This window comes from Homo sapiens, chromosome 16, assembly GCF_000001405.40.
Source record: "Homo sapiens chromosome 16, GRCh38.p14 Primary Assembly".
Classification (NCBI taxonomy): domain Eukaryota; kingdom Metazoa; phylum Chordata; class Mammalia; order Primates; family Hominidae; genus Homo; species Homo sapiens.
The window spans coordinates 19,443,972-19,459,922 of record NC_000016.10 but is presented as its reverse complement, the minus strand read 5'-3'; the positions used below and the strand labels follow the sequence as shown (position 1 = coordinate 19,459,922).

Sequence of the window (15,951 nt, the reverse complement as noted above, 5' to 3'; positions counted from 1 at the left end):
TTTTTGAGACAGGATCTTGCTGTGTCACCCAGGCTAGAGTGCAGTGGCACAATCACAGCCCACTGCAACACTGATCTCCTGGACTTAAGCGATCCTCCCACCTCAGCCTCCCAAAGTGTTGTGATTACCACAATGCACCACCATGTCTGGCTAATTTTTTTATTTTTTTGTAAAGCTGAGGTCTCACTACATTGCCCAGGCTGGTCTTGAACTCCTGGGCTCAAGCGATCCTCCCACCTCAGCCTCCAGAGTAGCTGGGACTACAGGCACACACCACGACAACCAGCTAATTTTTTAAAATTATTATTTGTAGAGATGGGGTCTTGCTATGTTGCCCAAGGTGGTCTCAAACTTCTGACCTCAAGAGATTTCTCACCTCAGCCTCCCAAACTGCTAGGATTACAGGTGTGAGCCACCACGCCTGGCTCTCTTGCTTTAATATCCCACATCACTTCCTTTTGCCCCTGACCCCAGGTTCGAGAGACTTCTCACATTCCTTGACTATCGCTGAATGCCCTTCCACCTTCCTAGAAGTACACCCTCCTTTTCTCCTGCTAACTCATATTCACATTTGCAGTCAATGTGGCAGATGCTATTGTCTACCCCAAATTCATTTCCTCCTTGTTAATGGAATTCCAATTGTGTTTAGGAATCTACCTGCCTCCCTCACATGGCCCTGAGCTTCCTTGAGGTGGAGCCTATCTCTAGGCCCAAAGAGCAAGTTTTAGTCTGAGTGAACCAATCCTCACGGTCCTGTCCCCTTGCAGGTGACTGGTTTAAGCACAGGCATGTGACACAGCATTAGCCAATGTCCTCTGAGAGGTGTGTGCTGAGAAATTTCTCGGAAAATATTTCTTCCTTCTCAAAAAAAAAAAAAGCAAAAAACAAGAAAAAGACAGATGTCTCTTCCTCTGATTATTGTTGTGTCTGCATGTGATGTGAGAAGTGCTATTGCTATCCTGTAGCAAAGAAGCCAGCAGGCGGGGCAGCGATACCGTGCCGAGGGTGGCTGAGGGACAGAGGGAGCAAGCTGGCTCCTTGGTCACAGCACAGGGTTAGAATGGCCCGCCGGGAAATACAATGTTCATCGTAATGACATACTTGAGGTGTAAGGGGAATTCCCAAAAGAGGACCACCAAATCTCTCTGCTGAGGATGAGGAATTTGTGCCTCTTCCTGGGTAGGAAGGGTGAGTAGATTGAGAGGAAGAAAGATGGAAGAGGAAAATATACAGAGATCCAGGGAGCCAGCAGTGTGAGAGGTGATGCCCCAATCTTCTTCAGTAAAGGGGCTAAACCTACTAAATGCTTTGTGTGAGTAAAGGGATATTTTTCTTCTCCCTGAAATCATTGAGAGCTGCTTGACTTTATGCCTGGAATACTGTGGGGGTGAAACAGAAACAGCATCTCTGGGCCGGGCATGGTGGCTCACACCTGTAATCCCAGCACTTTGGGAGGCCAAGCCAGGCAGATCACCTGAGGTCGGGAGTTCAAGACCAGCCTGGCCAACATGGTGAAACCCTGTCTCTACTAAAAATACAAAAAAATTAGCCAGGCGTGGTGTCAGGTGCCTGTAATCCCAGCTACTTAGGAGGCTGAGGCAGGATAATTGCTTGAACCCAGGAGGCAGAAGCTGCAGTGAGCTAAAATCATGCCATTGCACTTCAGCCTGGGCAACAAGAGTGAAACTCTGTCTCAAATAAATACATTAAATTAAATTAAATTAAAAGAAACAGCATCTCCATTGGCCTCAGGAGCAGAGAGGCTGGAAGGTCTCAGCTAAGATCTGGTTTCCTGATGATCTTGCCAACAAGAGACATCCTATCTGTTGCCTGACCAGGGTGAGGAGGAATTAGCCCAAAGTGAGACAGTGTAGCGATTAAGGATGCAGGCTTGAGGCTGGATGTGGTGGCTTACACCCGTAATCCATCCCAGCACTTTGGGAAGTCAAGGTGGGCAGATCACCTGAGGCCAGGAGTTCGAGACAAGGTTGGCCAACATGGTAAAACCCCATCTCTACTAAAAATACAAAAATTAGATGGGTGTGGTGACATGCACCTGTAATCCCAGCTACTCAGCAGGCTGAGGCATGAGAATCACTTAAACCTGGGAAGCAGAGGTTGCAGTGAGCCAAGATTGTGCCTCTACACTCCAGCCTGGGTGACAGCAAGACTTTGTCTCAAAAAAAAAAAAAAAAAAAAAAAAAAAAAAAAAAGAATGTAGTCTTGGGAATCAGATAGACCTGTATTTGGGCCCCAGATCTTCCAGGTCACTAAATTTATCTGAGCTTCAGTTTCCTCATCAAGCAAACGGAAATGCCACCTCAAAGGTGTGGAGTGCAGGGAGTACATAAAAATTCGATGGATAACAAAAAGCAGGTGCTCTGCAGAGCACAAGGCATACAAAATAAGCTTGATAAAAATAAGCTCTTGTTAGGGATGTCTTAAATTGATCCCTTCCTTTGTCCTTGGCTTCCTTAGTTCAACCACAAAACCTTCCGCCCTTCCATATTACTCAATGTCCTTCTTTTAGAGACAGGATCTTACTCTGTCACCCAGGCTGGGTTGCAGTGGTGCCATCAGAGCTTGCTGCAGCCTCCAACTCCTAGGCTCAAGTGATCTTCCCACCTTAGCCTCCTGAGTAGCTGGGACCACAGGTGTGCACCATCATGCCTGGTTATTATTTTTTAAATTTTTTTGTAGCAATGAGGTCTCCCTTTGTTGCCCAGGCTAGTCTCGAACACCTGGGCTCAAGTGTTCCTCTTATCTTGGCCTCCCAAAGCCGTAGGATTATAGGTGTGAGCCACCACGCCTGGCCCCACTTGATATCTAAAAAGTAAAATATGCTGTGGACAACGAGGAAGCCTTTTTTCCTACTCCCCTACTTCTCTTCCCCAGCATTTCACTACCTTGAACAGTTTCATGTGAAGAACCAGGAGTGTCTATGCCCATGCATTCTAGGCTATGAAGGGTCTGAGACATCGACTCATTCAAAGATGTTGAAAACCGCAGCACCTGGTTACCCTTTTGGTCATTCCTTTTGCTGACTGTCTGAGAGTCTATCACATCAATGTCAGATATTGACAAAACCATGTTGATGCTTGAGTCTAGCAGCACCTTTTCTTGAAAAATCTGATTTGAGGATGGGTGGCTTTGGACCCCAGAGGAAACATTCTCAACCTGTATGATGATTTCATTCACGTGGTCATCGGACAGCATCTCCTGCCTCCTGCAAGCCTTCTTCTCCACTGGGGTGGGCTTCCTGAGACTTCATACAGCAGTCACACCCGCATTGATTGGGACTCGCAGGGAAAAAGTGATGATGATCACAAAGGGATACACCATTCACATTATTTTTAAAATGCCAGGATGAGCTCACCAAAGCCACCCCTACACAAATCACAACATAACTCCCTGCATCTAACCCCTGAGGAGTTTTCTCAGGAGAAGGAGTGTTTTCCTGCAGAGAATTCTGTCTTGGTAGCTAGGCAAGAAATCGAAAACAGAATCTTTCATTTAAGACAATGGGATTCTAGAAACAGAAGGAAGATATTTTTCTAAATGACTCATAGTCAAAGGGCAAGATTTTTTTTTATAATTTAGTGCCTCTGGCCTAGAACTTATATATATACATATATATATGTTCTAAATATACATATATATGTTCTAAATATACATATATATATTCTAAATGTGTGTATATATATATTTTTTTTTTTGAGATGGAGTCTCGCTATGTCACCCAGGCTGGAGTGCAGTGGCGCGATCTCAGCTCACTGTAACCTCCACCTCCCAGGTTCACGCCATTCTCCTGCCTCAGCCTCCCAAGTAGCTGGGATTACAGGCGCCCGCCACCATGCCCGGCTAATTTTTTGTATTTTTAGTAGAGACGGGGTTTCACCACGTTAGCCAGGATGGTCTCGATCTCCTGACCTCGTGATCCTCCTGCCTCGGCCTCCCAAAGTGCTGGGATTACAGGCGTGAGACACAGCACCTGGCTGAACTTATATTTTATATCTGTAGTTTTATCTGCCTGTAGAAATCCACATGGGTTTACAGTGATACAATTATTATCTCCTGATGCCTTAGGTAGTGGACTCTGCTATTTGTCTGGCTCTCAGTCTCTAATCTTCTTCTTTCTCACACCAGCAAAAGCTCCATTTCCTGTGCAGACATAGTGCTCAAAGTTTCCCAGTGTTCTTTGCGGCTAAGGGTGGGCCTGTGACTCAGTTTTAGCCAATGAGACTTGTGGCTTCCAGGAATGCTCTTTCTAAGGGGACAGTTTGCCTGGGTTCACAATTTGCCCTTCACCAGTCTTCCTCCAGACATTTTGAAAAGAAGAGAACGAACGTTCACCTGCTAAGGATGGTAGAGAAAAAGGCTGCAGAAGGGGCTTCAGTCCTTGAGGGCATCATGGGTGGAGCTGCTGTACAAACTTTGCACTTCCTCCCTCCATGCTTCTTGTTTTTTTGCTTTTTAAAAATTTTTATTTATTTATTTATTTAGAGACAGAGTCTCTCTCTGTTGCCCAGGCTGGAGTACAGTGGCATGATCTTGGCTCACTGCAGCCTTTGCCTCCTGGGTTCAGGCAATTCTCCTGCCTCAGCCTCCTGAGTAGCCTGGCAAATTTTTGTATTTTTTGTAGAGACGAGGTTTCACCATGTTGGCCAGGCTGGCCTTGAACTCCTGACCTCAAGTGATTCGCCTGCCTCAGCCTCCCAAAGTGCTGAGATTACAGGCATGAGCCACCGCATGTAAAAAAAAGTACAAATTTTTAAACTTTTTTTTTTAGAGATGAGGTCTTGCTCTGTTTCCCAGGCTGGAGTGCAGTAGTGTGATCATAACTCACTGCAGCCTTGACCTCCTGGGATCAAGTAATCCTCCTGCTTCAGCCTCCTGAGTATCTGGGACCACAGGGGCACCACCATGCCCAGCTATTTGTTTTTTTTTAAAGACATAGGGTCTCACTTTGTTGTCCAGGCTGGTCTCGAACCCCTGGTTTCAAGCAATTCTCCCACCTTGGCTTCCCAGAGTGCTGGGATTACAGGTGTGAACCATTGCACCTAACCCACACTTCTCAGTACATGAGAAAAATAAACCCCTTTATTGCTAAGCCACATTTCTGTTCCAGTGCCAGGCACATAAACACAATTCCTATCCAATAGATCTAATTTCAAATCACCTAGGCCTAGTTGTTTATTTAATAGTTGTAGAAATTGAGGTGCAGAGAGCTGAACGGACACTGTTCCTCCTCATCACACTTTCATTAAATGTCAAAATTGAACTAGAACCCATGTATTCCTTCTCCCAACAGTGATAATTAACAGTAATGATACCTGCCATTACTGCAGGCCAAGTACTTTAAATAGAGCACAACATTTACGCTATGAAGTAGATATTAAAATCAACCCCATTTTATAGCTAAGAAAACTGATGCTTCATGAAATAATTTGTCACAAAACCAGCAAGCAGTAGAGCTGGGGTCAAATCCGGATTGCTCTGAACCCAAAGCAGAACTCTTAGTCATTTCACTCTGGCCCCTTCCTGTAACAAGAGGCTGGTATATCATTCATTCATTCTTGCCAGGTGTGGTGGTTTATGCCTCTAATCACAGCACTTTGGGAGGCCAAGGTGGGTGGATCACTTGAGGCCAGGAGTTCAAGACCAGCCTGGCCAACATGGTGAAACTCTGTCTACTGAAAATACAAAAATTATCCAGGTGTGGTGGCAGGGGCCTGTAATCCCAACTGCTTGGGAGGCTGAGGCTGGAGAATTGCTTGAACTCAGGAGGTAGAGGTTGCAGTGAGCCGAGGTCACTCCACTCCACTCCAGCCTGGGGGACAGAGTGAAACTCTGCCTCAAAAACAACAACAAAAAAGATGCTGGTGTATCATTCATTCATTCTTGCCAACTGAGGTGGTGGCTCACACCTGTATTCTCAGCTACTTGGGAGGCTGAGGCGGGAGGATTGCTTGAGCCCAGGAATTTGAGAACAGTCGGAGCAATATAGTGAGATTCCATCTCAAAATATTCATTCATAAATGAATGAATATAAGCACGCACACTATGTGGCAGGTGCTTCCTAGGGACACAGCATAATTAATTCATCAAAGCTATACTTTATCAGGCTATCTTTTGTTTTTCTTTCTTTCCTTTTTTAGGCAAGGTCTCACTCTGTCCCCTAGGCTGGAGTGCAGTAGGGTGATCTTGGCTCACTGCAGTGCCTGCCTCCTGGGCCCAAGGGATCTTCCCATCTCAGCCTCCAGAGTAGCTGGCACTGCAGGTGCACGCCACCAGGCCTGGCTAATTTTTCTTTTTTCTTCTTTTTTTTTTTTTTGAGACAGAGTCTCATTCTGTTGCCCAGGCTGGAGTGCAGTGGCATGATCTCAGCTCACGGCAACCTCCGCCTCCCGGGTTCAAGTGATTCTCCAGCCTGAGCCTCCTGAGTAGCTGGGATCACAGGCATGTACCACCATGCCCAGCTAACTTTTGTATTTTTAGCAGAGACGGAGTTTCACCATGTTGGGCAGGCTGGTCTCAAACTCCTGACCTCAAGTGATCCACCCGCCTAGGCCTCCCAAAGTGCTGGGATTACAAGCATGAGCTACCATGCTTGGCCAAATTTTCTATTTTTCATAGAGATGGGGTTTCACTGTGTTGCTCAGGCTGTTCTTAAACCTCTGAACTCAAGTGATCTACCTGCCTCAGCCTCCAGAAGTCCTGGGATTACAGGTGTGAGCCAGTGCACCCAGCCTGGGCTATTATTTAATTGCATGTGGTTTGTGAATCAGATTCAACACAAAGCAAAATGATGAAGACAGCCAGGTTCATCTTTTGGTCCTCTATTTCTTTACTACTCTCTGCCTTTTGGGGACTCCTCTTCTACCAGGGTTCCTGTGATATATATATATATAATATATATATATAATTTTTTCCCACCCGTGGTTCCTGGCTCATAACTACCATAGCCCTTGTTATAATGTTAGAATTTTAAGCCTCAGAAAACAGAATCTCTCTCTCTGATCTCCTGCCTCTTTTCATTTGCTCTATTTTCTCCCCAAGGCAGGATTCCAGTCTTTCCCCACCTTTCTGTCTTGGAGTTGGCCATAAAGAAATTCTCCCTCATTTCAGAAGGGGTCCTGCCCCAAACCCTGGAGGAAGGAATGCTGCACAGAAAGCCCAAGAAGGATCTGAACAGACACAGCTTTCTGGGTTTCCCCAACCTGTCTATTAGTATGAGATCATACACCCTTTGATCTCGGCTCACTGCATTCTCCGCCTCCTGAGTTCAAGTGATTCCCCTGCCTCAGCCTCCCAAGTAGCTGGGACTACAGGCACATGCCACCATGCCCGGCTAATTTTTGTATTTTTAGTAGAGACGGGGTTTCACCATGTTGGCCAGGCTGGTATCGAACTCCTGACCTTAGGTGATCCACCTGCCTCGGCCTCCCAAAGTGCTGGGATTGCAGGTGAGAGCCACCATGCCCGGCCATCCAGTCTCATTTCTACATGCTTGTCAATCATGTCTATGTAATGAAGCCTCCCAATAAAAGGCCCAAGAGGACTGGGTTCAGGTAGCTTTCTGATAGCTGAAGACGGGGAGGTTCCTGGAGGGTGGCTCACCCAGGGAGGGCATGGAAGCTCTGTGTCCCTTCCCCTATACCTCACCTAATGCATCTCTTCATCTATGTCCCTTGTAATATTCTTTGTAATAAGCCAGTAAACATAAGTTTCCCGAAGTTCTGTGAGCTGCTCCAGCAAATTAACCAAACCAAAGGAGGAGGTCGTGGGAACCCCAACTTGAAGCTGGTTGGTCAGAAGTTCTGGGGCTGGGTGCGGTGGCTCATGCCTGTAATCCCAGCACTTTGGGAAGCCGAGGTGGGCAGATCAGTTGAGGTCAGGAGTTTGAGACCAGCCTGGCCAAAATGCCGAAACCCCGTCTCTACTAAAAATACAAAAATGAGCTGGGTGTGGTGGCGCATGCCTGTAATGCCAGCTACTCAGGAGGCTGAGGCACAAGAATCGCTTGAACCTGGGAGGCGGATGTTGCAGTGAGCTGAGATGGTGCCACTGCACTCCAGCCTGAATAACGGAGTGAGATCCTTAAAAATAATAATAATAATAAAAAGAAAAAGTTCCGGCGGCCTGGACATGTGGCTGGGGTCTGAAGGAGGTATATAGTCTTGGGGACTGCGCCTTTGTCCTATGGGATCTGACACTATCTCCAGGTAGATAGTGTCAGAATTGAATTGGAGGATACCCAGCGATGTCTGCTGTAAAATTGATCGCTTTCTTGGTGTGTGGGGAGAAACCCCCACCCATTTGTTCACAGAAGCCTTCTGTGTTGATGGTTGTTGAGTAAGAGAACAGAAAAAACACTCTGAGTGTGTTTTTTTCTATACAGTCTCCAAACCTCATGCTGGCAAGACAGAGCAGTCATAACATTTAAACATATTTATTCTCCCTGATAATTAAAGCCATTCTGTGCCCCAGTGGGGACCAAATAGACAGTGTGATCATTTATATCCCAACGGTTTTCCCTTCCAAGTAGCAATATCTAACCCTCCCTGAAAAGGCATACATCTCTTGAAGGATGAGGCTAACGGTTATCTTATAGGCGATGGGGCTGAAAGGTGAGAGTTCTAAGTGGCTTCTCTCCACACGCATCATTGTATAGAGGACCTCATTACTTTATTCCTTGTTGCTCACAGATTTGCCTTGTGGCTCCAGCACTCCCTAGTCTAGTCTCTCTCCTCTGTTGCTTCATTTTTTGTTTTTGTTTGTTTGATTTTGAGACAGGGTCTCACTCTGTCACCTAGGCTAGACTGCAATGGCGTGATCACAGCTCACTGCAGCCTCAACCTCCCAGGCTCAAGCAATCCTACCGCCTCGGTCTCCCAAAGTGTTGGGATTACAGGCATAACCCCCGTGCCTGGCTTGTTGCTTCCTTTTTATTTTTCAGTCTCTGCCTCTGATTCAACCTTCATCACCACACACAGTGATCCTTAGAGAGCTTCCTAACTGATTGCAGCGCCTTCTATCTTTCACCAGTCTGACTGCTTCCACACTCCATTATCATAATAATTATATGAATATTCACAAAAACTTTGATCAATGCATCTTGTCCCCACCAACACAGGCATTAGCCACAGAATAGACAGGTGACCCAGTCTTGTCCCTTGTGGTAAAAATGATTGGCTCAAGTGTAGGCATGTGCTCCAGTTAGACTGGCCAGAGTCCTTCCCCCGCATTAGAGATGGACCCAGGGAGGAAGCAAGACTTCCTAATGAGGTGGCTAAGCAGAGGGCTCACGTGGGCCTGCTATTGGCCGTGTTCTCTGGCCTGTGGACAAGTCCTGACTCTGACGGAGATGAATGAGGTCTAACTTAAAGAGGTGCTGAGGATCCAGGACATACCTATACATACAGAACTGAAAAGCAAGTTTTACAAAGATGAGAAATGGATGGGAAACCAGAGTCCAGGTGACATTGAGTTCCCTGACCTCAGACTGAGGTCCTGATTTCTGTACTCATTCAACAAATTAATCTAACAAATATCCCTAAAATACCTACTACGTGCCAGGCACTGTACTAGGTGCTGGAAGGTACTAATACTTCTACTTTCATTTCTTTAAGTTTCCCCCATACGCTTCTACCACATGAGCCAATGAATTCCCCCTGGGCTAATGCCTGTTTGAGTTGGGTTTCTGTCACTTGCAACCAGAAGATTCCTAATGAAGACACCCTGATCCCCAGAAGACAACAAACTATACATCTAAAAGAAAACTCCATTATGATATGTTAAGCAGGTTCTGCATCAGTAACCACACTGGAGGTCAAAGGAAATGGCAATGGGTGGATTGTCTTGGACATGTTCCTTCTCCAGGGTTGACTTTTTGGTCACTGTCCTTTAAGTCTTACTGTATTAGTCTGTTTTCACACTGCTATAAAAATACTGCCTGAGACTGCATAATTTATAGACAAAAGAGGTTTAATTGTCTTACAGTTCCTCATGGCTGGGGGGCATTTCTCAGGAAACTTACAAACGTGGTGGAAGGCATAGGGGAAAGAAGGGCACATCTTACATGGGGGCAGGAGAGAGAGTGGGTGCAGGGGAAGCTGTCACTTTTAAACCATCAGATTTCAAGGGAACTCCCTCAATATCATGAGAACAGCATGGGGGAAACCACCCCCATGATCCAATCACCTCCCACCAGGTCTCTCCCCCGACACATGGGGATTACAATTTGAAATGAGAGTTGGGTGGGGACACAGAGCCAAACCATATCACTTACCTTGGGGTGACTTGTGCCAATCACATTCAGACAATGGTGGGTTTCCATAAGCATGGACAGGACCACTTTCACCTACATAAGCAGGGTTCACTGGAGGGAAGAGGAAGGAGATATTGCCGATTAGTCTCACCACACTAGACATTCCTGGCATGCAATAGTTATGATGTGCTAATAGTGGTTCGTAACGGCTAATAAGACTGAGACCTGGTCTTTGAGGTTCTAACAGACTACTGATTAAGAACTTGGGTGGAAACTAGGACAAAAATACAAAAACAGTGCTGTTAAATATAATCAGCCTAGATCAATGGTTTTTCATTTGACTAAGCCATAGTTAAAAATAATTGTTGGCAAGGTGAGGTAGCTCACGCCTGTAATCCCAGTGCTTTGGGAAGCCATGGTGGGAGGATTACTTGAGCCCAAAAGTTCAAGACCATCCTGGGCAACATAATGAGACCCTGTCTCTAAAAATATATGTATATGTGGCCGGGCACAGTGGCTCACGCCTGTAATCCCAGCACTTTGGGAGGCCGAGACAGGTGGATCACGAGGTCAGGAGATCGAGACCATCCTGGCTAACCCCGTCCCTACTAAAAAAATACAAAAAAATTAGCCGGGTGTAGTGGCGGGCGCCTGTAGTCCCAGCTACTCGGGAGGCTGGGGCAGAATGGCATGAACCCAGGAGGTGGAGCTTGCAGTGAGCCGAGATCGCGCCACTGCACACCAGCTTGGGCAACAGAGCGAGACTCTGACTCAAAAAAAAAAAAAAAAGAAAAAAATACATATAAACTACATGATATAAAAATAAATATATATTTTATACTATATATTTTATATATTTTTTGTATTTCTAATATATTTATTTTTATATGTTACATGTAATCTATATTTTATATGTTATATAATATAAAAATAAATATAATATATTAAAATATATATATTATCTATAAATATATATTTTAATATAAAATATAATATAAAAAATTACATTAAATATATATATTAATATATATTTTAAGACAGGTTCTCACTCTGTCACCTAGGCTGGAGTGCAGTGGTGCGATTTCAGCTCACTGCAGCTTTGACCTCCCAGGCTCAAGCAATCCTTCCATCTCAGCCTCCTGAGTAGCTGGGACTACAAGCATGCACCACCATGCCTGGCTAATATTTTGTATTTTTTGTAGAGAGGGGGTTTCACCATGTTATCCAGGCTGGTCTCGAACTTCTGGGCGGCTCAAACAATCTGCCAGCCTTGGCCTCTCAAAGGGTTGGGATTACAGGCTTGAGTCATGGAGCCCAGTAAAAAAGTGTGTGTGTGTGTGTGTGTGTGCGTGTGTGTGTAAATAATGGTTGCACTGAGATCCAGGACACACCTATACATATAGAACTGAAAAGCAAGTTTTACAAAATAATACTTTGTTTGACTATATAAACTGCACTCTAACATAGCCTTACTCTAGTCCACTCTTTTTTTTTTTTTTTTTTGAGACTTGCTCTGTCACACAGGCTGGAGTGCAGTGACGCAATCTCGGCTCACTGCAACCTCTGCCTCCCGGGTTCAAGTGATTCTCCAGCCTCAGCCTCCCAATTAGCTGGGAGAAATGGAGAAAATGGAGCACATTTTAATGGGGACAATATGCAAAATTACATTGCAAGACCTTCTGGAGCTTCTTGCCTGGGAATCAACTCCCAGCCCTGTTACTTCCTAGTTGTGCGCCCCCTGGGTGTGTGTCTTAGCATCTCTGAGCTTCAATATCTTAGTCTCTAAAATAGGGATAACAGGCTAGGTGTGGTGGTGTATGCCTGTAATTTCGGCACTTTGGGAGGCCAAAGTGGGACAGTCGCTTGAGCACAGGAGTTTGAGACCAGCTTGGGCAACATGGCATAACCCTGTCTCTACAAAAAATAAAAAAATTGGCTGGGCATGGTAGTAGTGTGCCTGTAGTCCCAGCCACTCAGGAGGTAAAGGCTGCAGTGAGCTGAGATTGCACCACTGCACTCCAGCCTGCACTAAAGAGCGGGCATTTTGTCTGAAAAATAAATAAATAAATAGGGATAATAATAGGACCTTCACATAGGATTGTTGTGGGAATTGAATCAGTGAACACATGTGAAATGATTAAATAATCCTCGAACATATTAAACTCTAATATATATTAACTGTTATAGTAGATTAATTGTTATTCAGCAAATATTACATTTCCCCTACCTTGACTACCTCCATTGATATTGGGCTTAGTCGTGTGACTTGCTTTGAACAATGGAATATGACAGAAGTGACAGTGTGCCAGTTCCAAGCCAAGGCTTTTAAAGATACCGTGTGTTTCTGCTTGCCATTTTGAGCACTTTCAGCTTACGGCATGGGAAGACATTGCCCTAGGTCACTCACTGGTCCAAGAAGAGGGACACTAGAACTAAATAGAACCCATGACGTAGAGCCAAGCACAACAAACTCAGCGTAGTTCAGCCAAATGCCAACCAACCTTGCAGACCCGTAAGAAGAAAATGCTTGTTTATTGTACGACTCTGGATTTTTGGAGTTGTTTGTTATGCAGCATTCCTGTGGCAATAGCTAGCTGATACAACTCTTATAGTTGTTGTTGTTGTTGTTGTTATTAACTCAGTTAATATTTTTCAGGCACCTACTGTGGGCCAGGCACTGTGACACTAGGAAGAGCACCTAGAGCCTTGGAGGGTACATAGATGAATACAGGTTCTCCTTAAGGAGTGAACACTTTATCAGGATGGGGTGACACTGGACAAGTGATTGCCAAGGGCTGCAAACTTTGCCCTACAAAAGATCCCAGAGAAGTGAGCTATACTGACCTGCTTTTTTTGTTTTTTAAGTATTTTATCTTCCAATGTTCTATAGAGCTTTGTGGTCAGGAATCTGTTTGTATTTGCCCTGATTCAACCTAGCAGTAATGCAGGGTAAATAAGAGGTCAGGTTTTGGGTAGAGAGACGGGATTCAATCCTGGCTCTGTCAATTTAGTAAGTGAGTGACCTTGTGCATATTTCTTTCTAAGTCTTAGTTTTCCCATCTGTTAAAACAGGGAGAGTGGCAGTGCCTGCCTGAAAGGCAGTTGTACAGATTAAATGAGATAATAAAAGTCAAGTGCTGGACAGAGACTCCAGGGCATAGGAAACACTCAAGATTTGCTTGCAGTTATACGTTCCACTTGCACTGGAGTAGCACAGTATGTCTCAATCTTGTTTCATTATCAGCCCCTTAAGCAGGGGAGACATTTTTTCCTCATTGCCGTCCTCTAAGAAGTTTTAATACCAAAGATATACTGTATCCGTTTGTGTACTACATGTGTATCCCTGCTTTATACATCAAGAGTGAGATTTTTTTCTGGCCTTTCAAGAGCAGATATTCCCCCCTTGGGATTTCTATTGCCCCTGTGGAGGAATGCTTGGAATAAAGGTTTGGAATAGCCCTGGGCTATCTGATGTCTGTGCTCCCAAAGGAATATTCTCTTTTCTTTTTCCTTCCTTCCTCCCTTCCTTCCTTCCTTCCCTCTCTCCCCCTCCACCTCCCCCCAACTCTTCCCCTCCCCTCCCCTCCCCTCCACTCCCTTCCTTTCCTGTCCTGTCCTGTCCGGTCCTTTCTTTTTTTGCGACAGGGTCTCGCTTTGTCACTCAGGCCAGAGTGCAGTGGTACAGTCATGGCTCACGGCAGCCTCAACCTCCCAGGCTCAAGTGATCCTCCTGTGTCAATCTCCCAAGTAGCTGGGACCCCAGGTGTGTGCCACCACGCCCAGCTAATTTTTAAAATTAGGCCCGGAATGAAAATTTTCTATGTGTTAACAGTCAGTGTTTTCATTAGTACATGGCTATGCATCCTGTCCCCTCCTCTCTGCCTTCTTCCAGACCTGCCCCATCTACTCCTCAAGGCTCATCAATCCTCCATCTGCACCTCCCAGCACTTGGGTCTCTTGTTCTCTTCTTATTGGCTGAACACCTTCTCCCTTTTCTGACTTCCACAGGTTCCAAATTCCTTTAACATGGCCTGGATTTTTTTTTTCTCTTGTGCCATCAAACGGCTTCCTGGAACATGTCTCTTTTTCCTCCTAGAAAGTAAGAACTGTTCAGAATTGGCCCAGGCTCAAGCCTGTAATCCCAGCACTTTGGGAGGCCGAGACTGGAGGATTGCTTGAAGCCAGGAGTTCAAGGCCAGCCCAGGCAACATAGCAAGACCCCATCTTTCTCAAGCATAAAAAAAGTGCCAGGCATGGTGGCATGCAACTGTAGTCCCTGCTACTGGGTAGGCTGAGGTGGGAGGATTGCTTGAGCCTAGGAGTTTGAGGCTGCAGTGAGCTATGATCAGCCTGGGTGACAGAGCAGGACACTGTCTTAAAAAAAAAAAAAACTGTTTAGAATTTCCTTTGCCTCCTGGAGCTAAGCATCTTATCTATACACACAACAAATTATGAGGACAACATGATTTTTCAAATATTAATAGTTTGCTTGCTAACTTTCTTTAGTCTTTTTTTTGTTTGTTTTTAACAGAGTCTCGCTCTACTGCCCAGGCTGGAGTACAGTGGTGCGATCTTGGCTCACTGCAACCTCCGCCTCCTGGGTTCAAGTGATTCTTCTGCCTTAGCCTCCCGAGTATGGCATTACAGGTGCCCTCCACTATGCCTGGCTAATTTTTGTATTTTTAGTAGAGACGGGGTTTCACCATGTTGGCCAGGCTGGTCTCGAACTCCTGACCTCAGGTGATCTGCCCGCCTCGACCTCCCAAGTGCTGGGATTACAGGCGTGAGCCACCACACCCAGCCTTTTCTTTAGTCTTGATGTGGCACTTTTGTTGACCTATTTAGGCTTTAAATAACATGAGGGCAGAGCTACCTCTTAACTCCCTTTTCCCCCAGTAGGTTCTGAACACATACGTGCTGATTGCCTGAATGCCTTTAGGATATGCTAAACTACAGGTGGCCACTGGCAGCTAACAAAAAATGTGGTTTTGTTTGCCCAGCTCACTGTTTTTACTTTTAAAAATTATTTTGGAACAGATCAACATCAGGTTTCACATAAAACCCCAAATACACGGCTTCTGAAAAATATGAAGATCTTGCCACATTGAGCCCACATTGCCACATAACCACCATGGACTGAGCTTCACCAACTCTGGTAGGAACAGAGTGCACAGGTCCCCATTTTCCACAACTCTTACCTAGCATTTTTTTTATAATTGATGACAATTAACTTGGCTTCTCTAAACACTGAATTCTCAACTTTTGTATGTAAAAACAAGGGTCTCTGAGATTGGAAGGATACACCAATTCTCCTATTGCCAAGTCTCCTTAATGATTGCACCCCTAAATCCAGTGATTTCAGTTTTTTCCCAGGATATGATCCTGGCTTAACAAATGCTTACCATAGCCACTTCCAGGAGCACCTGGCAGAGAGTGGCCATATGAGTTTGCCATCTCCATGGATGCCATTTCAATGCCTTCAGGGTAATCATTCTCTCCCCAAAGACTGCCCACGGGGTCATCACTCCTGTGACGAAATGAGGGCTGGATTGAAGATGTTCTGCTGAGCACCCTAAAATCCAAAATGATGGATCACTATCCAACCAAGAGTATAGTAAGGATTGTCATCCATCCATCCATCCATCCATCCATCCATTCAATCATGTATTCATCCATTTATT

General features: G+C 45.2%; 1 protein-coding gene across 5 annotated transcripts in view; it reads right to left on the bottom strand.

Annotated features, from left to right (window-relative positions):
- TMC5 (transmembrane channel like 5) overlaps positions 1-15,951 on the bottom strand; it is an 88,575-nt gene that overhangs the window by 39,191 nt on the left and 33,433 nt on the right. For 4 of the 5 annotated variants that reach the window (NM_001308161.1, NM_001105248.1, NM_001105249.1 and 1 more), the window contains exons 4-5: positions 15,673-15,842; positions 10,292-10,381 (exon numbers count right to left, since the gene is read on the bottom strand). In NM_001308161.1, the coding sequence (NP_001295090.1) occupies positions 10,292-10,381; positions 15,673-15,842 (260 nt within the window). Of the gene's footprint in view, positions 1-2,906; positions 3,463-10,291; positions 10,382-15,672; positions 15,843-15,951 lie in introns of those variants that run through there. The other variant, NM_024780.5, reaches the window with a different exon arrangement.